Raw genomic sequence first — 25,580 nt, 5'->3', positions numbered from 1 at the left:
CCCCTTTTGAAGGGAATTTGAAGATCGTTCTATTTTGTGATCACACGTCAAAGTAGGGATGACATTTCTCTTGTTCTTAAGTGAACTGTTATTAGCCTACAAACTAAATCTGTGGAGGGTCTTAAGGGGGGAATTAACATTTCATTTTCAGAAGGTAAAAAAAAAAATGACAGCTTTGGCAGTCATATAGGTTTACTGCCTGGAAGGTAAATGCACCTTGGATCTCTTTTATTGCTGTGCCTGCCAGGGCTGCACAAAACTAATTTTAAGTTGATATTGGAGGAATCTAGAAGACTTTGCCCTTCTTCTAAGGGAGTCGAGCACTAAAGTTACAGTAGCTGTTCTTCTGCTTGAGATTCTGACTGCCTCATAAAGAGAACATGAAACATCTAGACATGATGGGATAAAATATGGGTATTAGCATAGCGTCATGCTACGACCAGGATAGTCCTGTTCTCTTAGCTATTTGACCTGAGGCAAGTAGCTTCACCCCGTTGAGTCTTACTTTTCCTCTCTATAAAATGGGAATGTAAGCACAATGTGATGCCACCATACTCCCACAAGAATGCCAATAATAAAAAAAAATAGATATTGCCATGGATATGGTGAAAAGGGAACACTTTGACACTGCTGGTGGGAATGTAAACTATATATGTACAATGGAATGCCACTCAGCCATAAAAAGGAATGAATTAATGGCATTCGCAGCAACCTGGATGAGATTAGACACTATTTTTCTAAGTGAAGTAATGCAGGGATGGAAAACTAAACATCGTATGTTCTCACTTATAAGTGGGAGCTAAGCCATGAGGGTGCAAAGGCATAAGAATAACACAATGGACTTTGGGGACTCGGGGAGAAAGGGTGGGGAGGGAGTGAGGGATAAAAGGCTACAAATTGGGTTCAGTGTATACTGCTCAGGTGATGGGTATACCAAAATCTCACAAAACACCACTAAAGAACTTACTTACGTAACGAAATACCACCTGTTCCCAAAAAACCTATGGAATTGTTTTTAAAGGGAATGTTGATGCCATCTTTATAATACCTTGGAGGATATATATAGCATTCTGATAAGGTCTAATTTCTCATGCCAGTGAGAAGGTGTTATGGATCAATTTGTGCCCCCCACCCCAAATTCCATATGTTGATGTCCTAAGCTCCATACCTCAGAATGTGACCTTATTGGGGCATAGGGTCTTTACAGAGGTAATCAAGTTAGAATGATGTCATTAGGGTGATCCCTAATCCAATATGACTGGTGTCCTTATGAAAAGGGAAGATTTGAGCTGGGCATGGTGGCTCACGCCTGTAATCCCACTACTTTGGGAGGCCGAGGTGGGCGGATTGCCTGAGCTCAAGAGTTCAAAACCAGCCTGGGTAACATGGCGAAACCCCCATCCACTAAAAATATAAAAAATTAGCTGGGTGTGGTGGTGGGCGCCTGTAATCTCAGCTATTCTGGAGGTTGAGGCACAAGAATCGCTTGAACCTGGGAGGTGGAGGTTGCAGTGAGCCAAGATGCAGCCTGGATCACTGCACTCCAGCCTGGGTGACAGCAAGACTCTGTCTCAAAAAAAAAAAAAAAAAAAGAAAAGGAAGATTTGGATAGAGATACCCATAGAGGAAAGATGTATGAGGTTACAGAGAGAACACCATGTGAAACGAGAAGACAGCCGTCCACAAACCAAGGAGAGAGGCCTGGAACAGATTCCCCTTCACAGCCCTCAGAGGGACCCAACCCTGCCAACACCTTGATTTTGGACTTCAAAGCTCCAGGACTGTGACACAATAAGTTTCTGTTGTTGAAATCACTTAGTTTGTGGTGCTTTGTTACAGTAGGGCTAGCAAACTAATATAGAAGGGGTGATGGATTTGGGACCTCCTTCTGAGAGGACTGACTATAAAATGCAGGGCCCAGAGTTGAATAGGACTCTCCCTCTCCAACCAAACAAAGCCCTCTCCAGAAATGACTGGCCCTTCAGAATACTCAGATTGGGATTTAATTGTCTTAGAAACAGTTGTCATGACAACTGGATATAAAGTTTAGTTCCAGAACTTAAACCTAAATATGTTAAAATCTCCACAAGACATTTTCTTTGACTGAGAGTGAATTAAGCAAAGCATGTGCATGCACACACAGACACAATCTCTTAAAAACATTAAAAAGGGACTATGTCCTCTGACTCACACATCAGTGTTCTGGAATAGGAGACATTCATTACCATCACCCTTCTATTCACTCAACTGACATTTATTCATTTAATTGGCATTTACTGAGCAACTACAATGTGCCAAGCACAGAAGGAAAATTCGTGGCAGATTAACTGCCTACATCAGAAAGCTTGAGATTGTTTGAATATCTGGATTGAAAAGTGGCATATTTACTTGTGACAGGTTAGGGAGCACCATGAGCTTCACGAGAAAGGGGGGCTGTGGCTTGCTCATTCATTTCTTCTTCCCCAGGGATGTAATGCAGTTCCATGTACCTTATAGCTGCCTAGCAGATATTTACTGAACAAATGAATGAATGGTTGAACAAAAGAAAATTCAAAGACAGCACTGAAACCAGTCTGGGATTCTCGAAGCATTAAAATGTCTAGTTGTGGATGTAACATTAATGTTAGCCAATATTTATTGAGCACTGACTATGTTCCTGGCTCCAAGCACTCCAGAGATGATGGTACAGGTTTTGCGTAATATTTGCAAAGCTCTTTGCTGAAGTGAGGCATAGCCTCATTTTATACATGAAGTGAATGAGGCTTTTAGAGCTATCATGAATTGCCTTTGGCCATACAGAAACGCACAGACCTGCATTTGAGCCCAGGTCTGTCCAAATTCAATGCTTGTGCTCCCTAATGTAGCTGCTCACCTCCCTCTTTCTTTAGACTCTGTTGCCTCCTCTCTCCGGAGAAAAGGAAGAGTGAGTGAGAGTCGATTTCTAAATCTATTAGTTGCTCATTTACACCCTCTTAAATGGTTTTCATTAATTTTCATAAATGACAGCACTAAGAAGAAATCTGAAGAATCTCGATGTGTGTTTTGTCTTCTTCACTGTCTCAGGAAACCAGCCAGTGATTCTTTTTTTCAATCTTACAAACAAAAACCCCAAAAAACTAAAATATGATCCATCTACAATACTTTCCTACAGGATCATAATGTAGCTCCCAATGATGCCCCCGCTTGGCAGGATTTTAACACCAATTCCAAAAATGTCAAGGAATGTCATTGGTTTGAATTTACATAATTGATAGAGTAGGGTATTGATTCAGGTTAGTAAACCCGAAGCCTTGAACCTGAGATGTGAGTTAATTGGGGTTAAATGGTGTCATCTCTTGACGGAGAAAAATGTTTTAGCCTGGTTCTGTTGGATTCTGCAAATTATTGCCGCCTTCCCAGTCCCCATTCGAATAAGAGAGACTTCTCTTCTGGAATTGCTGAGTGTGGAGTCAAACTGAATGTAACATAACAGGCTCTTTAATGAAAAAAGTGAGAGTAAAGCAACTTGACCTTCCACTTTAAAGGTGAGTTTTCCGGAAAAAAGTACAAATACTAGATAAAGTTGCTGTGAAATTAAAGGTGTGTCTTTAGGGAGGGGAAGAGGAAAGAGTGACTAGTGTATGATAAAGGCTGACTTATTTTTAATGCACAGTATAAACATTCCAGTGAGTGACTCTCCATGTGTCATGATGCTTGAATTCTGTTCAACATTGCCTATCTGCTGAGCCTGACACTGTGCTGGGCAACTGGCACAGAAGCTGACAATGCTGAGCTAGACCTCTATGATTACTTGAAGGGTTCCAAGACTAATAAAATATGGAGATGTAAAGGAAGCAATCACAGTAGGGCAGCATGCTATGGGGGCACAGCTGCAGTTATGGCCCACTCTGCTTGGGCAGGTGGAGTTAGACTGCTCGCATGGGAAGGAGCCCAATCCTGGGACCTTTGAATGTGGACGATTGAAGTTACCCAGAATTTGAGGAGCCTAGGATACCATGTCAGAGGTGTTTGCATGGGTGAGCACAGCTAGTGTTGGAACTCACCAGAGATTCAGCATGACTGGAATAGAGAGAAACGCGATCTCACAGCACCTTGTCCTTTTACTTCCTAGCCTTTGTCAAAGTTGCAACTCGTTCATTCATCATGATTTTTTGTTTGTTTGTTTGTTTGTTTGTTAGATGGAGTTTCACTCTTATGGCCCAGGCTGGAGTGCAATGGCGTGATCTCAGCTCACCACAACCTCTGCCTCCCGGGTTCAAGTGGTTCTCCTACCTCAGCCTCCTGAGTAGCTGCGATTACAGGCATGTGCCACTATGCCCAGCTAATTTTGTATTTTTAGTAGAGATGGAGTTTCTCCGTCTCAAACTCCTGACCTCAGGTAGTATGCCTGCCTCGGCCTCCCAAAGTGCTAGGATTACAGTCATGAGCCACCACGCCTGGCTCATTGTGATTAGGCTGAAAGCTCCATGAGGACTGGAATTCTAATAGGCTTGTCCACTACTTATTCTCAGTAGCTCAAACAGTGACTGGCAGATTTTAAACAGCCAGTATCAGTGGATCGAATAAGTAAATGAATGTGTATACAGGCATGTCACGACACGAGATCAGAATCAGGCCATTATCATATCATAGAGAGCCTTGAATGCCACTATATAGGTGCTCAAGAGATAGTTATTGAATAAATGAACAAATGAATGAATGAAAATCTAAAAGAACACTAAAACTGCTCTGGAAACCATGAAATCTACAGTGAGAGGGAGATTTTGAAGGATCCTACAGAGGGCATTGACATGGTTTATTTTAGCAAAGAATCACTTATTAGGTGCTTGTGATGTCGGTTATTTGAGGACAAATGAAATATAACCCTATTTGATGAAGATTATAATCCACGAAGTAAAGGGATTTACTTTATACCTTTAAATATTTTGGACACTTCTCTACATGGAAATATCTAGATATTTTTTCATTCAGTGCAATGAAAAACAGGATTTGTACTGAAAATAATTATTTTTACCATCATATGTATATTTTCTAATGGTACAAACCATAGTGAGAAACAGCTACAATTCCTCTATATTAGGGACCAGAAACTATGGCAGGAGGGGCAAATCCAGCCCACTGCTCATTCGTGTATAACTGAGCTAAAAATATTTTTCATATTTAAAAATTATTTTTCAAAATCAAAAAAAGAAAAAAAATTTATGTCATGTGAAAAGCATGTAAAATTCAAATTTCAGTGTCCATAAGTAAAGTTTTATTGGAACACAGCTATGCCTGTTCCTTTTTGTATTATCTGTGGCTGCTTTCTTGTTACGGAGCAGAGTTGCTAGTAACTACAATTTGGCCCACAAAGCCTACAGTAATTGCCATCTGGCCCTTTACAGAAAAAGTTTGCTGACCCCTGCTCTAGATTCACAGTAATTTTTAGTGGCACGATTTGTGCCAGTATACATTTTGGTGACCTTCCCTTAAAGGAGTTCCTTTTCCTGAATCAGTGGTTCCCTGCAAATTAGAATGTAACCACATTTGGGGAATTTCATTTCCTACTTCTCAAAATGAATGCCTTGCAAATGATGATTGATTACACCTTTGATTAGGAAGTAAGGGGACATACTGCTTAGTATGAAATGCAAAGCTATTTAGGTCAGGGCAGCATAGTTGAAATAACAGCAGCTAGGATCAGGAAGCCCATAGTTCACCCTGCAAGCTTGGGCAGCTCACATCCGTATCAGGACCAAAGCCCCCTTATTTGTCCAACTACAGGGCCGAGAAAGCAGTCTTTAAGATTTTTTTTTTTTCCCCTGGGGCTAAAAGTCTGTACTTCAGAAAAGTCACTGTGCTCAGAGCTCTACCTATTCCTAGTAGATATACATTTTACAAAGAAAACACTCATTGACCACTAGATACCTTTGATTATTTACCCATGTGTGGAGTTAACAAGAACTGCATGGGAATGAAGCACAGGCTGGAATTTCAAATCTTCAGGAAGCATGGGAACAATTAGAATTCTGTAGTTCATCTCGTAGCTTTGGGAGGCATTTTGTCTTTTTATCTGGAGGTGGCTGGGGAAAGAAACGTACTTACAACATTGTGGAAGGAAACAGTCAATTTTAAAAGAGGAAGTATGGTTGCAACCTGTAGTTACAACATCTTCACCCCATGCCAATTTCTCTATGCTTTAAAAATTGCAATCTCTTTCCTGCTTAGTCCCATGATTATTCTACCTTAGAGTTTCCTGGCAGAATACTGGCAGCTGATAACCAGGGCAGGATTCAAACAGCAAAAGTGACCAGTGAGCACTCCTGTGTGGTTTATCTGGGCCCCTAAGTGATCGCTCATTGTTCTCCCTTTTTAGGCCAGATTGTGGGTGGGAACATTAGAAAGGAGCTTGCAAAATATCAATGCTTAAGTGACTGTTCCAGTTGTTAAATCATAATACAGCGTGATTTCACTGAAATGAAGTAATTACAGGAGGAAAGAAGAAAAGTCAAATGATATAAAAACAGGTCTTTTTGGATTGTCTAAGTACTAATGCGCTCTCTGATGCATATGCATTTCTCATTTCTGAAGCACTCACCGCACAAAAGGTTCCACTCTGTTAAGAGTGGAGGTTCGTGTTATTTTGGCTCAAGCTCTTATCCCCAAATTTGGGCAAAGATAGCTGCACTTACAAGCCCTCAAACATTTCTCGAAGAGGCTATAATTATTCTAAATCAACACATCTCATGTTTTAATATTTTCATCTGAAATATACAATTCAATCTCCCTGCCCTCCAGCCTTTACATTTAGCAGACAGCATCCTTGTTCAAATCTTGGCCCTCCTCTGTCCCAACTGTGTGATCTTGAACAAATTGCTTCAAGTTTTCAATCCTCAGTTTCTGCATCTTTTTAAAGAAGGATAATAATAGAATACACTTCATATGGCTTTTGTTACCTTAAATATAGATGAAAAGCACTTCCTAGTGCCTGGCACACAGTAAGCACTTACCAGATATGAGCTATTATTCTCTGCCCTTTGGGTTCAGATGTTACTAGTCTGGGAATCTGTCCTTGCTTCCTGAGGGCTGGTAAGGAGGCTTACCCTATTACCCTCTCTAGGCTTTTCTTTCTCCTACCATTATTTTCACTGTTGCATCATTATCTAGCTACTTCCCTCTTTTCTAAACACTGGGTTTCTCCAGGTTTGTAAACCTGTCTGATTCATTTCTCCATCTCTGGCTTCCTTCTCACACAGATACATAGCTCTGGCCAAGAAGTGTGGTTTTGAAGAGGTAAGTATATAAAAGCAGTATGCATTTTGAAGCAACACAATCATGGAAATTACTTGTCTATGGAAACCTGCTGCTCTAAGAATAATAAAGAGAAAAATCCAAAACCTTAGCAAGGAATCTGTATAGCTCCTCCCTTGACTTTCAGCCTCTTCTTAGAACATGTCTACTCTCTGTATTCCCAGCCACAACAGAAATTTTTCAGGACCCCTGGCCACAGGATCTTTGCAAGTGCTGCTCCTGCTGTTTGGGTCTACCACACTTACCTTTCAGTTCACAGCTCAAGTCTTGCTTCCTTGGAGAGCCTTATCTCACCCCTCAGTCTAAGTCATGTCTGCTTGCTACATGCTCTCATAGAAATATGTTTCTTCCTATTTGAGCTCTAATTTCAGTTTTAATTAATTATTTAGTTTTGTGATTATTTTATTAATGTCTATCATTCCTCAAGAGATTGAAAATTCCATGGAAGCAGGAATTATGTCTGTTTTTTGCTGTTTCACATCCTCAGGGTTATGAATAATGCCTAACACGTAGTATGCACTCAGTAAATATTTGTTAAAAATTAATGAATGAAGAGCCAGCATCTTGTATTTCAGAAATGGATATGAAACAATTTTAGTTGCTTGACAAGGCATTCAAATTTTTTATTCAGTTAGTCTAACCAATGGCAGGCTTTCTACATGTTTACCAAGAGACAGGGCTTCACCTGCCTCACCATGCCAGGCTTATTTAAGAAGCTGTATTGCACCATTCCTGCCAATACTGGGTGAGACATAAACTGACAATGATCAAAGATGGATTAAACTCCCCTAGGTGAGAAGTATAGGCTAATGGAGGACTGGTTCTTAAGCTGCCCACATGGCCCTATGCTGACTTTATCATTTTTTAAAAGCTTTTGACCACTTTTTTGTGGGCTCCCCTGACATGTCTGGGGTATCAGTTTAACTCCATTTGTGTCTTTCTGGTCATAGCCATGATTCCTCCACAGACGATTCTGTTGTTTTCCCTCCCATACCCACTCCACTCTTTAGCCCAAACTGTATCTGTTACCTGATTTCAAAGAATATTCCACCTAGGAGAGACCCAGGTCCTGCAGACTTCCTCTGGACACTTTTGGCAGTCATTGTTCCCAGCTGATTCTGCAACAGATGAAGGACGGAGGATAGAATCATGAATAGCAACATCTTAATTGCTGACTGGGTAAGGAACTCAAGGTTTCAGGTGATGGTGGGAGAGGAGAAGCAAGATGTGCTCTCATGCCTTCTTCACCAGTTTACCTGATGTGGTTGAAAGACACCTACACCAATAATCCTTAAAGATCACTCTTCTAAGCTCAGGTATATGATCTGGAAGCTAATTACAGGTATGAGTCCTGCTGTGATTCATTGGATGATCTGAATATTGGTGTCCCCTCAAAAGTCATACATTGAAAGCCTAACCCCTTAGGTGATGATATTAGGAGGTGGGACATTTGGATGGTGATTATATGATGAGGGTGGTGCCTGAATGACTTGATTACTGTCTTTATAAAAGAGGCCGAAGAGAGTCCTCATTTCCCCTTCTACCATGTGAGAATGCAGCTGGGAGTCTCTGTCTATGCACCAGGCAGTGGGCCCTCACCAGATACTAAATCTGCCAGTGCCTTAATCTTGAACTCCCCAGTCTCCACAACTGTAAGAAATAAATCTCTGTTGTTTACAAGCTACTCAGTTTATAGTATTTTGTTATCTAGCAGCCAAAACAGTCTAGACTTGCAGCCCAGGTCATCTTCCTACATCCCCTCACTCACAGCGTACAGTGTCTCAATTTGCAATAGTCTTTTTATCTTTGGTTTCAACATACCCATTTTAAATGAACTGGTCTATGTTCTTAGCTTTTTTGAAACTATGTAACTTTTAACTCATTTCATAAAAAAAATTCCTTCCATCCCTACTCAGCCATTCCTGATTCTTCCACACTCTTACTTTCATGTTCAATTTATATGCATTTTATTTATCCCTAGAAAGCTTTTGATACCTTCAATGACCTGATCTATTTTTCTTCATTCCATTCCACAGTCTTGGTTCAAACTGTCATCATTTTATTCGCTGCAAAAAAATAGTTAATTAGTAGGCATTTTTTCCCATTCTACCACCCAAGAGGCTGACAGTGTCATCTTAAAACAGAACAAAACAAAGACTATACTTATTAAATTGTAATTTCAAGCAATGGGCATCTTCCAATTTCTCTCTCTTCACCTGCCTCATCCCGTGCCCTGAATTAGGTACCCCACCTACATAAAACTTTCCACCAATACCTTCTACAACTCCAGACCTTTGAAAGTACTGCTAACTCCTGATGAGATCCAGCGGCCTTTGGTCTAGTGGAAAATATCCTTTTACCTGCCCTTTAAGAATCAGATTGGCCAAATGCAGCGGCTCACGCTTGTAATCCCAGCACTTGGGAGGCTGAGGCGGATGGATCGCTTGAGCCCAGGAGTTCAAGACAAGCCTAGGCGACATGGCAAAACCTCATCTCTACTAAAAATACTAAAAATTAGCCATGAGTGATGGCACATGCCTATAGTTCCGGCTCCTCAGGGGGCTAAGATGGGAGAGTCACCTGAGCCTAAAAAGTTGAGGCTGCAGTGAGCCATGATTATGCCACTGCACTCCAGCCTGGGTGACTGGAGTGAGACCCTGTCTAAAAATAATAATAATAAGATTTAAAAAATCATATTTTCTCTGAAGCCATTTTTAACTTTCCAGAAAGAATCAGTTATCACACCTTCTGCAAAACCATAACTCTGTACGTAAAGCAGAAATAAATACTTTAAAACACAATGGGATTTCAAAAAGTTCATGGAAAAATGGAATTAAAAGTTACAAAATAAAGACATAAACTTTATTTCTCAACATAAGCTCCACTAGGTGTAAGACACTTTTATAAGCCACAATAATAGCCATTCGGAGCATCCCTAAAAAAATTGAGAGCCCTGGGAATTTAACCACCTCAATGCAATCTTTTTTATATTATTAACTGAAGAAAAATTGACACCCTTTACAGATTTTCTTAGAATTAGGAAACAAAAAAAAAAAAAACGAAGTCAGAAAGAGTCAGATCAGGACTGTAAAGTGGATGCCCAATGATTTTCTACAGAAACTATTGATAAATTTCCCTGGTTTGTTGAGAGAATGAGCAAGAGCATTGCCATGGTTGTGAAGGATGCTTTGGTGAAGATTTCCTGGGCATTTTTCTGCTAAAGCTTTGGCTAATTTTCTCAAAACACACTCATAAGAAACCCTTTGGCCCTCTGGAAAGTCACCAAGCAAAATGTCTTGAGCATCCCCAAAACTGTTGACACAATCTTTGTTCTTGGCTGGTCCATTTTTGCTTTGACTGGACAACTTCCACCTCTTGGTAGCTGTATTATTCCATTTTCATACTGCTATGAAGAAATACTGAGAAATAGAAAAAGAGGTTTAATGGACTCACAGTTCCACATGGCTGGGGAGGCCACATAATCATGGTGGAAGGTGAAGGAGGAGCAAAGGCATGTCTTACATGGTTGCAGGCAAGAGAACGTGTGCAGGGGAACTGCACTTTCTAAAACCATCAGATCTCATGAGACTTATTCACGATTACGAGAACAAGACAGGAAAAACCCACCCCTATGATTCAGTTACCTCCCACTGGGTCTCCCCCCATGACACATGTGAATTATGGGAGCTACAATTCAAGGTGAGATTTGAGTGGGGACACAGGCAAACCATATCAGTAGCCTTTGCTTTAATCGTGCCTTGTCTTCAGTATTGTACTGGTAAAGCCATGCTTCATTTTCTATTACATTTATTTGAAGAAATGCTTCAGGCTCTTAATCCCACTTGTTAAAAATTTCCACCGAAAGCTGAGCTCTTTTCTGTAGCTGATCTGGGTATAACACTTTTGCCACCTATTGATAGAGCGAAAAGTTTGTTTAACTTTGATTTTTCATTCAGAATTGTGTAAGCTGAACTAATTGAGATGTCTAGGTATTGGCTATTGTTTATACTGTAATTGCCAGTCCTCTTCAATTAGAGCACAAACAAGATGAAGTTTTTCCTCCAAAATTGATGTGGCTGGTCTGCCACTGTGGGCTTCATCTTCAACATCATCTTTTCCTCTTGTACCCATTTGCAAACTGCTTATTTCTTTGGGGCACTGTCTCCCATAATTTTTTTTTTTTTTTTTTTGAGACGGAGTCTTACTCTGTCAACCAGGCTGTAGTGCAGTGGTGTGATCTCCGCTTACTGCAAGCTCTGCCTCCTGGGTTCATGCCATTCTCCTGCCTCAGGCTCCCGAGTAGCTGGGACCACAGGCGCCTGCCACCAGGCCTGGCTAATTTTTTGTATTTTTCGTAGAGACAGGGTTTCACCGTGGTAGCCAAGACAGTCTTGACCTCCTAACCTCGTGATCCACCCACCTCGTCCTCCCAAAGTGCTAGGATTACAGGCATGAGCCACCGCATGCGGCCTCCATAAACTTTTTTTAAACATCAATGATTTGACCATTGTTCCACTCAAACATTACCATAAATTTGATGTTCATTCTTGCTTCAATTTTAGCAGAATTCATGTTACTGAGAGAGGTGCTCCTTTCAAACTGATGTCTTGCCCTTCTTAGTGCCTCAAACTAGATGCCCTTCAGACATGTTATAACAAGTTAGTATGAGTTTTTTTTGGTGCAAACATCTTTTAAATCAATGCATAGTTTTTTTGTAATATGCATTTTCTATGAAATTTTTGAGGTCCCCTCATAATTATCTCATGGCATCTTTCTATCTTAATGAACTAGGAGGTTTGTGAGTGTGAGACCTATGACTTACAGTCCAAATGTTCCCTTTGTGATTAGTACAACACCTGGCACATTATAAGCATTATAATATTTTCAGAGAATAAAGAGTTTAGCTTAAAAATATATCTTTTTTCCTTTGATAACAAGCATTTACTCCAAAAAAGAAATGTGTTCCCTCCTGACATTGAAATGGTGTTTTGTTGAAGCAGCAGCCAGTTGAGAAATACAAAAAGTGGGTAACATCTTCATTTTGATGTGTGTATGTCTGTAGTAAATTGTCATTTATGATGATCAAAAAGAAAGGGAGGATAAGGATATTTTAAGACAGACTACAAAAATAACCTAGATTGTGATTCTGCCATTTTAATTTTATCTCAGTTCTGATAAATATTTCTCCTTAACATGCTTGCCCTCCTAAAGAGTGCTGATAAGCCCTCCAAACAGATCCCCCCCACTCCTTGCATTTCTAAGCCTTTGATTTAGGTTCTTAGTAAATGCTAAATGATAAGAATAATCCTCAATGATGTTTGTGAGTTTTTGGAAATACTCTTTTCATCTAATTTTCCTTTTCATAGGCTTAATCTATATTAGCATTCCAGTGCTTCTCTTTAAGTATGATCTTTATTTATTTCAAGAATTCAAGTCATTCCAATTTCCTATGAACATTTTTTGAGTGCCTACTGTACCCCAGGCTTTAAATTGAGTGCTGGTTATTCTGTAATACATAAGACAGTGTGTCTAAGCTTAAGAGGTTCCAAGTCTGAGCCAAAGATTTAAAGGAATAAGGTCTTAGTAACAGTTGTATTAAAGCAAATATGTTTAACCTAAGGGAACGATTAGACTGACTGTTGGGAAAGTGGATGGCAGAGTTGACTTCAAAAAGTGATGGCTTTTGAGCTGGGCTTTGAGGGCTGAATAGGAGTTTGCCATTACACAGAATAAGAAGCAAATAAAAAGATTTAATAATGTGTTTATAAACTAATATCACAATTGATTTTAATCAAGTCCAGAGAATGGATATTACAGAGTAGGGAGGAGAGATAGGGGGATGATGTGATTTGAAAAAACTTTCCCCTTTTGACATCTTTGCTGTGATTTCATTGTCTTTGAGGCCACGGGAAAAAATACTTTGTGAGGGCTGCTTTGATGTGTATGAATTATTCATCATTAAGAAGCCAGGCAGCTGACACTACTCTTTATTAACGCTATTGAGTGTATTATGGCCCCCCTGGAAAAGCAGCGTGTTTTTTTACTCCTCTCTGCCCTGTGTGAGGGTTATCCGCATGTGTAGGAAGGTCTTGGTCAGCTTCTCTCTGATTGGTGCAAATGAGAGGACATTTTGAGCCTTCCTGTCCTGTTGTTTTTTTTCTCGAGTCTTTTTTTAGGATGAAAACTGTTTATCATTGGAGACACAGGCACACATACACACACCCAAGCTGCCTGAGTGTGTGGGTTGCTTGCTTTATTAAAAACCCAGAGTCTAGTCAGACGGAAAGACATGACCACCTAGTCCATTAGTGTTCTTGCTCTGACACAGGCAGCATGACCTGGGAGCAGCAGAGCTAATGGGATGTCTCATTAAAACAGCTTTCGTCAGAGTGTTTTCCCCACCGTTTAACATTCTCCTGTGCATTGTGCAGGTTGTAGTGTGAGGAGCCAGCTGTCTCTTCTCAGGACACAACAATGTAGGCAATAGAAAGACTTCAATGAGCGCTGAGGACCTACTGTGTGCCAGAATTACCCAGCTCTCTCAATATTGCCACTAAAGCCACCATGAATTGTTATTTTGCACACATGCTAATAGTATGAGTCAAAGCTAACATTCGTACTTGTTGACTGGGTCTCATTGTTCTATAAATGCTTATATAGGTAGATTATATCATTTACCCTAAAAATTCTATGATATATGCATTATTACTATTCCCATATTACAAATGAAAAAAGCAAGACTAAAACAGATTATGTTACTTGCTCAAAGTTAAGAACAAGTTTATTTGATAAAACCATACTCAGTGTGTTTGCTCTTTGTACAATATCATTATACTTCTAATCTGGTGTTTTATCCCTACAGTAGGCTAAGCAGCAGAGAATAAACTCAACAACAGGAAAAATGCTTGGGTTGGTGGTTGTGATTGTCATTGTTATGATTAAAACCAGCAATTGCTGAGGTCTTGCTATATGCCATGCCTTGAACTAATTAGTTAATTTACATATCTCATTTAATTCTGTTTTCAGCCCCATGAAGTAGGTTCTCTATCTGTTCCTATTTCACAGATGTAGAAATAGAGGCTTAAACTAGTTAAATACGAATGTCAGCCTACTTTGATTCCAAATCTGTATGACTTTAAATCAGAAGGAAGAAATGATGGTGGCTTGGGCTAGGGTAATACACTGACAGAAATGAACAATTTTGAAAGATGTCTGTGATTTATGATTGATAAAACTTGGCTACTTATTGTTGAAATGTAATTCAATTTAATAGCTTTTTATTGGGTAAACCTACTGGTATGAGATATTATGCTAAGCTCTAAGTATATCCGGGTAATTATCACACAATCTCTATCTTATGATTCTAATTAACAAGAAGATCAATGAACATGTGAATTTTATTATACATGTGTCTACCTATATGTAAATATGATACATGAACAAAAACAGTTATCCACTGATTTATTTTTATTCATGAAATATGCAAATAAGAAGAAGAACAAACACTTGGCATTTGCTTGTGTGATACCTATGCATTCGTTTTTAAAATCTTCTTAGAAGTTTGATGTGATAGGTGTTACTATCATTCCCATATTACAGATAATGGAAACAGAGACATAGGGAAGATGAGTAACTTCTGTGAGTTCCTAGAGCTAGCCATAGTCTCTGAAAACAAAATGAGGAAACAATTACTTCCACCTGGCTGGGGAAGTGTGAGTTATGGTCTGGAATAAATCCTACAGAGGAATAAAATTTGAAACAGGGGAAAGTAGAAACAATCTCCAAGGAAAAATCAGATAAGTACTGAAAACAATTGATAATTTACACAATAAAAGTGCAAGTTGTCTCTCAGCATATGGCAAACTCTTGGACTCATGCAAGTTAACATTGTCTTGTTTTGAATTCTAATTGCACAACTAACTGAGCCTTCATTTCATGTGAAAAAGTGTGTTTGAATACCTATCTGATAGGGTTGTGATGAGACTTAGAAGTGATAAAGCAGGTAGCAGCCCCAGCATAGCCTGTTTGGGACATAGTAAATGCTCAATAAGTGTGCAATCAGTTAATCTATCAATCAATGTGGAAGATACTGTAATGGGCCACCCTTTTGTGAAGTTGAGGTGGTCTCAGCAACTAGGAGTGCCATCTGCAAATGACTTTCAACTCTCGCCCCTGCAGGGATTCTCTCATGTTGTGGGTCTCAAGATCGTGATCCTTACTGGGGCAACCCACAGTCAAGAATTGATCACTGTAGGGGTATAAGGTTTTGGCCATTGACTCTGGTTCAGAACAACTCTGATGTACCATTCTAACTCCATGATTCTCTTTGGGGTCAGCCAAGTCTGTCTTGCCTGCATCACATCTTGAATTTTTTGAAATCTTACTTACTTTCTCTTACTTCCACAGGTGTTGATTCTAAGGATACCCCCAATAAACATCTTTCGTGCTAAAGCCCATTCCAGAATTTACTTCCCAGCTATCTTTGATGTTCATATTGTCAGAGGTGGTGGCCGCTGAAACAGGCAAAGACATGGAGCATATCTTGGGTCCAGGTTAGTGTCTTAGGATGTGTGACAAGTGCCAGCTTGCTGAGAGACAGCTTTAATATGATGTTGTTTTAAAAGGGGCTTGCATTTTTCCTATGCCAGCCAACAGGACCCTTCACTTAAAATGATAATTGTTAATAAAATCGCTACTCATCCATTTTATAGGTAAAGGAGGTGGGTGCACACAAGTGAAAAGATGTTGCTGAAGTCACGTGGCTTCAAGCAGTAGAGCTGACTGTCCTCTAGTCCAGTTGTCCCTACAGGATAAAAGCTTCTCTCCATTACAGAGTATGTGTATATTTTTTTGTCTGAAGTTATCTAGGGCTGCATCAGATTTGCCACCTCTTCGCACAAAACTAATGGTGTCTACCTTATAGGACCTTGGGAGTCCAGAGGAAGGTCTTTTTACCATCAGCATTCTCTACTGTGTTCAATGACTGTCAGCCAAAGATGGCCAGGTAAGTGATGGAGCTTTAAAAGGTTAATTACCATTAATCATTGTGAAAAGGTGGCTTATTATCCATTCATAAATTCAGAATAAATTTATTTTGCTGACAAGCAAAATGTCCCATTTGCCCTGTAGACCTGGTTCCCATTTTGAAAAATATATATATTTTTTTTAGATTATGGTCTTTCTATGAACTGCTGTCTTTTCCAACACACCATGTGGGGAAAAGCTTAATTAAATTCATAAAGTTGGTTAAGTTATTCCACATTTATCAAAAACCTTTAGGATTACACATATATGAGTATCTGTGCAGACTCAGATGTATAGTTACATGTCTATGAATAGCAATACACAGAGGTTGTTAACCAACACCTTTAAAGTGTGTTCTACAGGTGACTCACAGATGAATCTTACTTTAAAACTTCTACAAGACGTTTCGTGTATTATATTTTTTAAATTTTTTTTAAAGTCTTTTTTAAAAATTTATTATTATTATACTTTAAGTTTTAGGGTACATGTGCACAATGTGCAGGTTAGTTATATATGTATACATGTGCCATGCTGGTGCGCTGCACCCACTAACTCGTCATCTAGCATTAGGTATATCTCCCAATGCTATCCCTCCCCCCTCCCCCCACCCCACAACAGTCCCCAGAGTGTGATGTTCCCCTTCCTGTGTCCATGTGTTCTCATTGTTCAGTTCCCACCTGTGAGTGAGAATATGCAGTGTTTGGTTTTTTGTTCTTGCAATAGTTTACTGAGAATGATGATTTCCAATTTCATCCATGTCCCTACAAAGGACATGAACTCATCATTTTTTATGGCTGCATAGTATTCCATGGTGTGTATGTGCCACATTTTCTTAATCCAGCCTATCATTGTTGGACATTTGGGTTGGTTCCAAGTCTTTGCTATTGTGAATAATGCCTCAATAAACATACGTGTGCATGTGTATTTATAGCAGCATGATTTATAATCCTTTGGGTATATACCCAGTAATGGGATGGCTGGGTCAAATGGTATTTCTAGTTCTAGATCCCTGAGGAATCGCCACACTGATTTCCACAATGGTTGAACTAGTTTACAGTCCCACCAACAGTGTAAAAGTGTTCCTATTTCTCCACATCCTCTCCAGCACCTGTTGTTTCCTGACTTTTTAATGATTGCCATTCTAACTGGTGTGAGATGGTATCTCATTGTGGTTTTGATTTGCATTTCTCTGATGGCCAGTGATGGTGAGCATTTTTTCATGTGTTTTTTGGCTGCATAAATGTCTTCTTTTGAGAAGTGTCTGTTCATGTCCTTTGCCCACTTTTTGATGGGGTTGTTTGTTTTTTTCTTGTAAATTTGTTTGAGTTCATTGTAGATTCTGGATATTAGCCCTTTGTCAGATGAGTAGGTTGTGAAAATTTTCTCCCATTTTGTAGGTTGCCTGTTCACTCTGATGGTAGTTTCTTTTGCTGTGCAGAAGCTCTTGAGTTTAATTAGATTCCATTTGTCAATTTTGGCTTTTGTTGCCATTGCTTTTGGTGTTTTAGACATGAAGTCCTTGCCCATGCCTATGTCCTGAATGGTAATGACTAGGTTTTCTTCTAGGGTTTTTATGGTTTTAGGTCTAATATTTAAGTCTTTAATCCATCTTGAATTGATTTTTGTATAAGGTGTAAGGAAGGGATCCAGTTTCAGCTTTCTACATATGGCTAGCCAGTTTTCCCAGCACCATTTATTAAATAGGGAATCCTTTCCCCATTGCTTGTTTTTCTCAGGTTTGTCAAAGATCAGATAGTTGTAGATATGTGGTGTTATTTCTGAGGGCTCTGTTCTGTTCCATTGATCTATATCTCTGTTTTGGTACCACTACCATGCTGTTTTGGTTACTGTAGCCTTTTAGTATAGTTTGAAGTCAGGTAGTGTGATGCCTCCAGCTTTGTTCTTTTGGCTTAGGATTGACTTGGTGATGCGGGCTCTTTTTTTGTTCCATATGAACTTTAAAGTAGTTTTTTCCAATTCTGTGAAGAAAGGCATTGGTAGCTTGATGGGGATGGCATTGAATCTGTACATTACCTTGGGCAGTATGGCCATTTTCAAGATATTGATTCTTCCTACCCATGAGCATGGAGTGTTCTTCCATTTGTTTGTATCCTCTTTTATTTCCTTGAGCAGTGGTTTGTAGTTCTCCTTGAAGAGGTCCTTCACATCCCTTGTAAGTTGGATTCCTAGGTATTTTATTCTCTTTGAAGCAATTGCGAATGGGAGTTCACTCATGATTTGGCTCTCTGTTTGTCTGTTGTTGGTGTATAAGAATGCTTGTGATTTTTGTACATTGATTTTGTATCCTGAGACTTTGCTGAAGTTGCTTATCAGCTTAAGGAGATTTTGGGCTGAGACAATGGGGTTTTCTAGATATACAATCATGTCATCTGCAAACAGGGACAATTTGACTTCCTCTTTTCCTAATTGAATACCCTTTATTTTCTTCTCCTGCCTAAGTGCCCTGGCCAGAACTTCCAACACTGTGTTGAATAGGAGTGGTGAGAGAGGGCATCCCTGTCTTGTGCCAGTTTTCAAAGGGAATGCTTCCAGTTTTTGCCCATTCAGTATGATATTGGCTGTGGGTTTGTCATAGATAGCTCTTATTATTTTGAGATACGTCCCATCAATACCTAATTTATTGAGAGTTTTTAGCAGGAAGGGTTGTTGAATTTTGTCAAAGGCCTTTTCTGCATCTATTGAGATAATCATGTGGTTTTTGTCTTTGGTTCTGTTTATATGCTGGATTACATTTATTGATTTGCATATATTGAACCAGCCTTGCATCCCAGGGATGAAGCCCACTTGATCATGGTGGATAAGCTTTTTGATGTGCTGCTGGATTCGGTTTGCTAGTATTTTATTGAGGATTTTTGCATCAATGTTCATCAAGGAAGGATATTGGTCTAAAATTCTCTTTTTTGGTTGTGTCTCTGCCCGGCTTTGGTATCAGGATGATGCTGGCCCCATAAAATGAGTTAGGGAGGATTCCCTCTTTTTCTATTGATTGGAATAGTTTCAGGAGGAATGGTACCAGTTCCTCCTTGTACCTCTGGTAGAATTCGGCTGTGAATCTATCTGGTCCTGGACTCTTTTTGGTTGGTAAGCTATTGATTATTGCCACAATTTCAGCTCTTGTTATTGGTCTATTCAGAGATTCAACTTCTTCCTGGTTTAGTCTTGAGAGAGTGTATGTGTCGAGGAATTTATCCATTTCTGCTAGATTTTCTAGTTTATTTGCGTAGAGGTGTTTGTAGTATTCTCTGATGGTAGTTTGTATTTCTGTGGGATCGGTGGTGATATCCCCTTTATCATTTTTTATTGCGTCTATTTGATTCTTTTTTCTTCTTTATTAGTCTTGCTAGCGGTCTATCAATTTTGTTGATCCTTTTAAAAAACCAGCTCCTGGATTCATTAATTTTTTGAAGAGTTTTTTGTGTCTCTATTTCCTTCAGTTCTGCTCTGATTTTAGTTATTTCTTGCCTTCTGCTAGCTTTTGAATGTGTTTGCTCTTGCTTTTCTAGTTCTTTTAATTGTGATGTTAGGGTGTCAATTTTGGATCTTTCCTGCTTTCTCTTGTGGGCATTTAGTGCTATAAATTTCCCTCTACACACTGCTTTGAATGCATCCCAGAGATTCTGGTATGTTGTGTGTTTGTTCTCGTTGGTTTCAAAGAACATCTTTATTTCTGCCTTCATTTCGTTATGTACCCAGTAGTCATTCAGGAGCAGGTTGTTCAGTTTCCATGTAGTTGAGCAGCTTTGAGTGAGATTCTTAATCCTGAGTTCTAGTTTGATTGCACTGTGGTCTGAGAGATAGTTTGTTATAATTTCTGTGCTTTTACATTTGCTGAGGAGAGCTTTACTTCCAAGTATGTGGTCAATTTTGGAATAGGTGTGGTGTAGTGCTGAAAAAAATGTATACTCTGTTTATTTGGGGTGGAGAGTTCTGTAGATGTCTATTAGGTCCGCTTGGTGCAGAGCTGAGTTCAATTCCTGGGTATCCTTGTTGACTTTCTGTCTTGTTGATCTGTCTAATGTTGATAGTAGGGTGTTAAAGTCTCCCATTATTAATGTGTGGGAGTCTAAGTCTCTTTGTAGGTCACTCAGGACTTGCTTTATGAATCTGGGTGCTCCTGTATTGGGTGCATATATATTTAGGATAGTTAGCTCTTCTTGTTGAATTGATCCCTTTACCATTATGTAATGGCCTTCTTTGTCTCTTTTGATCTTTGTTGGTTTCAAGTCTGTTTTATCAGAGACTAGGATTGCAACCCCTGTCTTTTTTTGTTTTCCATTTGCTTGGTAGATCTTCCTCCATCCTTTTATTTTGAGCCTATGTGTGTCTCTGCACTTGAGATAGGTTTCCTGAATATAGCACACTGATGGGTCTTGACTCTTTATCCAATTTGCCAGTCTGTGTCTTTTAATTGGAGCATTTAGTCCATTTACATTTAAAGTTAATATTGTTATGTGTGAATTTGATCCTGTCATTGTGATGTTAGCTGGTTATTTTGCTCGTTAGTTCATGTGGTTTCTTCCTAGTCTCGATGGTCTTTATATTTTGGCATGATTTTGCAGCAGCTGGTATTGGTTGCTCCTTTCCATGTTTAGCGCTTCCTTCAGGAGCTCTTTTAGGGCAGGCCTTGTGGTGACAAAATCTCTCAGCATTTGCTTGTCTGTAAAGTATTTTATTTCTCCTTCACTTATGAAGCTTAGTTTGGCTGGATATGAAATTCTGGGTTGAAAATTCTTTTCTTTAAGAATGTTGAATATTGGTCCCCACTGTCTTCTGGCTTGTAGAGTTTCTGCCGAGAGATCCGCTGTTAGTCTGATGGGCTTCCCTTTGTGGGTAACCCGACCTTTCTCTCTGGCTGCCCTTAACATTTTTTCCTTCATTTCCACTTTGGTGAATCTGACAATTATGTGTCTTGGATTTGCTCTTCTCGAGGAGTATCTTTGTGGCGTTCTCTGTATTTCCTGAATCTGAACGTTGGCCTGCCTTGCTAGATTGGGGAAGTTCTCCTGGATAATATCCTGCAGAGTGTTTTCCAACTTGGTTCCATTCTCCCCATCACTTTCAGGTACACCAATGAGATGTAGATTTGGTCTTTTCACATAGTCCCATATTTCTTGGAGGCTTTGCTTGCTTCTTTTTTCTCTAAACTTCCCTTCTCGCTTCATTTCATTCACTTCATCTTCCATCACTGATACCCTTTCTTCCAGTTGATCGCATCTGCTCCTGAGGCTTCTGCATTCTTCACGTAGTTCTCGAGCCTTGGTTTTCAGCTCCATCAGCTCCTTTAAGCACTTCTCTGTATTGGTTATTCTAGTTATATATTCTTCTAAACTTTTTTCAAAGTTTTCAACTTCTTTGCCTTTGGTTTGAATTTCCTCCCGTAGCTCGGAGTAATTTGATCGTCTGAAGACTTCTTCTCTCAGCTCATCAAAGTCATTCTCCGTCCAGCTTTGTTCCATTGCTAGTGAGGAACTGAGTTCCTTTGGAGGAGGAGAGGCACTCTGCATTTTAGAGTTTCCAGTTTTTCTGTTCTGTTTTTTCCCCATCTTTGTGGTTTTATCTACTTTTGGTCTTTGATGATGGTGATGTACAGATGGGTTTTAGGTGTGGATGTCCTTGCTGTTTGTTAGTTTTCCTTCTAACAGACAGGACCCTCAGCTGCAGGTCTGTTGGAGTACCCGGCCGTGTGAGGTGTCAGTGTGCCCCTGCTGGGGGGTGCCTCCCAGTTAGGCTGCTCAGGGGTCAGGGGTCAGGGACCCACTTGAAGAGGCAGTCTGCCTGTTCTCAGATCTCCAGCTGTGTGCTGGGAGAACCACTGCTCTCTTCAAAGCTGTCAGACAGGGACATTTAAGTCTGCAGAGGTTACTGCTGTCTTTTTGTTTGTCTGTGCCCTGCCCCCAGAGGTGGAGCCTACAGAGGCAGGCAGGCCTCCTTGAGCTGTGGTGGGCTCCACCCAGTTCGAGCTTCCTGGCTGCTTTGTTTACCTAAGCAAGCCTGGGCAATGGTGGGCGCCCCTCCCCCAGCCTCACTGCCCCCTTGCAGTTTGATCTCAGATTGCTGTGCTAGCAATCAGCAAGACTCTGTGGGCATAGGACCCTCCAAGCCAGGTGCGGGATATAATCTCCTGGTGCGCCATTTTTAAGCCCGTTGGAAAAGCACAGTATTGGGGTGGGAGTGACCCGATTTTCCAGGTGCTGTCTGTCACCCCTATCTTTGACTAGGAAAGGGAACTTCCTGACCCCTTGTGCTTCCCGAGTGAGGCAATGCCTCGCCCTGCTTCGGCGTGCGCACCCACTGACCTGCGCCCACTGTCTGGCACTCCCTAGTGAGATGAACCCGGTACCTCAGATGGAAATGCAGAAATCGCCCGTCTTCTGAGTTGCTCACTCTGGGAGCTGTAGACCGGAGCTCTTCCTATTTGGCCATCTTTGTGTATTATATTTTAATAAACACAAAGCTTAAGCATTCAAGGTTGCAACCTGCAAAACTCAATCTAGCCCAACTCTAGGTTGCAGTTCAGGTATTATTAAAACTATCTCTATCCTTCATTATCCTTTAGAATGTATTTATTAATGCTTGCATTTTCATGAATGAAACTATGAGGCAAAATAAGGTGATCTAAAATATTAAAAGTAATAAGAATAAATAATATCTGCCATTTTACCATTCTATTTATGTGTCAGGTTCTCTACTGTGATGGTGAATTTTATGTGTCAATTTGACTGGACCATGGGATGCCCAGGTACTTGGTGAAACATTTCTCTGAGGATGTCTCTGGGTGAGATTAACATTTAAATTGGTCGACTGAGTAAAGCATATTGCCCTCCCTAATGTGAGTGGACTTCATCCAATCTATTTGAGGCCTGAAGAGAGCAGCTGATTCCTTATAATTAATCTATTTTTATATATGTATACATTCCAGTGATTTTGTCTCTTTGGTGAATCCTGACTACTACTATTTATAGTACTTAATAGTATACTGGTATGATATAATGAGATTTATAGCTACCTTCTTTCACTACCCGTTCTGTATTTCCTTTGCCTTCAGCAAGTACCTTAGTTGATTGTGGTTCTTTGCCTGGTGGGGTGATCCAAACCTTCATTCCTGATGAGTCTGAGTCATTAGTAGGATTGAATTGTTGTAGTTTTTCATTGACCTTAATCACAGGGCATGACCTTAATCACCCTAAAGGATTTCTTGTATTCCAGACATATTCTTCCTACCTCCATTGGGCAGAAGTGCTTCCATTTCTCCTTGGTGGTCATAAGCAGTCACCCCAGTCAGCACAGCACAGGGGAGCCCAAAGTGACCTGGTGGCTGCCTTAACTTCCTGTTTAATGGAATCATTGTTGGGTCCTGGTGGAAGCACTCCTCCCTTTGGAACTAAGACCTTTAGGCCAGTAGAGCATAAGGTCACAGGGAACAGAAAGCAAGGTTTGAGGTGGAAAGATAAAGAGTATGCTTTAGCTGCACTCATCTACTTGAAAGTATCAGCATACCGTCTACCCTGTGTCTAGCTTCCTGCCCTGGTAATTAAAGGGCAGGTAAACAGGTCACCTAAGGCTTCAATATGGAGACATTTTTGGTGGTCTGCCCAGTATTTATGGACTATTTTCTTGGCCCCACCCCATCTTCTTTTCTGTGGCCCAAGGAGAAGACCCTCTCCCTTCCTCCACAAAAAGGGATAGAATAACATCTTTCTGAGAACACTGAACTTCCCCCAAACCTGAATTCTATCTTCTTGTTTAATCAAGGAGGACAGGGTTGGTATTAGGGTAAGCTCCCCAAATTGCTTCCTTTCAGTAAGCCCTGCAGAAAAATGACCACAAGAACTAGCATTCTTCTGCACATATAATTGACATATTTATTAGCATTATCAGCATTTAAGTATGTATTCTTTTTCACTTATTTCCCCCATTCATTTCTCTTTTGTTATTTGCTTTTTCTAAACTATCCTTCTCTCTTTCTCTAACTTTGCCCCATTCTGTCTCTTTCTTGGTTGCTCAGAAATTAATTTTAATAAAAAAGCAAAATTATTGCTCTGATGTTCCTTCTACTTGTACCATCTAGGAATAAAAAATCTTAGTCTTCGCCTGTCCCAAACATCTGGGTGAAATGAGTTCTCCCCACCCCTGCCCAAGTTCGACCCTCTGCTATATCTTCCCTGGTTCCATAGCACCAATAGGATAGAATGCTTTCCCTTCAACTGCTTACCTAATTTTAAGGATGCAGTGGAAACACACACACACAAACACACACACACACATATGGCAAAGGTTATAAGATTGCTAAGTATGTTCCTTTCTTGAACATTATAATAAGGGCACTTTGGTATGGAGCATGTGAGAATTGTGGGGAGGGAGTGTCCCAGAACATGATATCATTGGCAGTCTTTCTTATGTTGGCATCTGAAATTTTTGAAGACCATTCTTCCAGGTGTTCTCAGCACATTACCCTGATTTGGTTTGGCAGAAGACCTTGTTTAAACCTGAAATAACAACAGGTGTTCTTTCCTATATTGGCTCACCATCTAGTCCTATCTTTATTTCCTGTGGGGGCACAGGTGCTGATTTCATAAGCAATCCCTCTCAAAGGGTGGACCAGAACATCATCCTTCTGGAAGGAAAATGCTTTCCAGAGGAAGGATAAGGAGCTGGGAAGATCACTGGGGTCTCAGTTCCAGTCCTCCCTTCATTGTTCATTGACACTGTAACCCTAGAAAAAAATCTTTCTTCTCTCAGAGAGTATTTACATATCTCTAAATAAGACGAGGTGGCTGAACATGAGCTTCTAAATTACTTTTAGTTTTAACATTCTATAATGTCATATACTCTTCTTCCAAATTAAATTCCAACTCAATTTTCTTACAGCTTTCCTTCAGAAAGAAATGCATTCAAAGAACCTACATTCACAACATAAAGAAATAAAGGTAACTATATAATAAAATTGACTTGCCATTTAAAATGTTTATTAATATTTTTATCAATGTGGAAGATGGGTATCAGTGAATATGAACAAGAACAGGACAATGTAAGTGCCATGGGTAGTATGATACCTTATAGGTGAAAAAATATGATAAATTCAAGAAAGAAAGACAGAGTTTATGAAACTATGAACAGCTACTTCTGAGGGGTGAGATTATGTGTGCTTTATGTTTTCTTTACTTTTTGCCGCTATTCCCAAATTTCTCAAAGTGATTGTGCACTCTCATCAGGAGAAAAAAAACCGTGCATTTTTTCAAATAAGT

The 25,580-nt window shown here is 39.9% G+C and overlaps 2 long non-coding RNA genes across 3 annotated transcripts in view, besides 1 other annotated feature; one reads left to right on the top strand and one right to left on the bottom strand.

The window, feature by feature from the left end:
* LOC124903780 (uncharacterized) overlaps nucleotides 1-25,580 on the bottom strand; it is a 161,687-nt gene that overhangs the window by 14,226 nt on the left and 121,881 nt on the right. The window contains exon 3 of the long non-coding RNA XR_007065224.1: nucleotides 8,320-8,408. This is a non-coding gene — a long non-coding RNA (uncharacterized LOC124903780). The remainder of the gene's footprint in view (nucleotides 1-8,319; nucleotides 8,409-25,580) is intronic.
* Nucleotides 1-25,580, top strand: part of LINC00922 (long intergenic non-protein coding RNA 922) — a 291,796-nt gene that overhangs the window by 196,793 nt on the left and 69,423 nt on the right. The window contains exons 3-8 of one of the 2 annotated variants that reach the window (NR_174971.1): nucleotides 4,179-4,301; nucleotides 7,236-7,272; nucleotides 8,301-8,469; nucleotides 15,697-15,842; nucleotides 16,214-16,294; nucleotides 25,204-25,262. This is a non-coding gene — a long non-coding RNA (long intergenic non-protein coding RNA 922). Of the gene's footprint in view, nucleotides 1-4,178; nucleotides 4,302-7,235; nucleotides 7,273-8,300; nucleotides 8,470-15,696; nucleotides 15,843-16,001; nucleotides 16,125-16,213; nucleotides 16,295-23,015; nucleotides 23,075-25,203; nucleotides 25,263-25,580 lie in introns of both variants that reach the window. The other variant, NR_027755.2, reaches the window with a different exon arrangement.
* Nucleotides 3,326-4,525: an enhancer, noted in NCBI's record as "MED14-independent group 3 enhancer chr16:65408883-65410082 (GRCh37/hg19 assembly coordinates)". NCBI's record gives its function as "activates an origin of replication core promoter dependent on BRD2, BRD4, P300/CBP and CDK7 cofactors, and independent of MED14, by STARR-seq in HCT116 cells {active_cell/tissue: HCT116}" and the evidence as "EXISTENCE:reporter gene assay evidence [ECO:0000049][PMID:35650434]".

The sequence above is a fragment of the Homo sapiens genome, chromosome 16 (genome assembly GCF_000001405.40).
Source record: "Homo sapiens chromosome 16, GRCh38.p14 Primary Assembly".
Lineage (NCBI taxonomy): Eukaryota > Metazoa > Chordata > Mammalia > Primates > Hominidae > Homo > Homo sapiens.
This window is presented reverse-complemented; position numbering and strand designations above follow the sequence as displayed.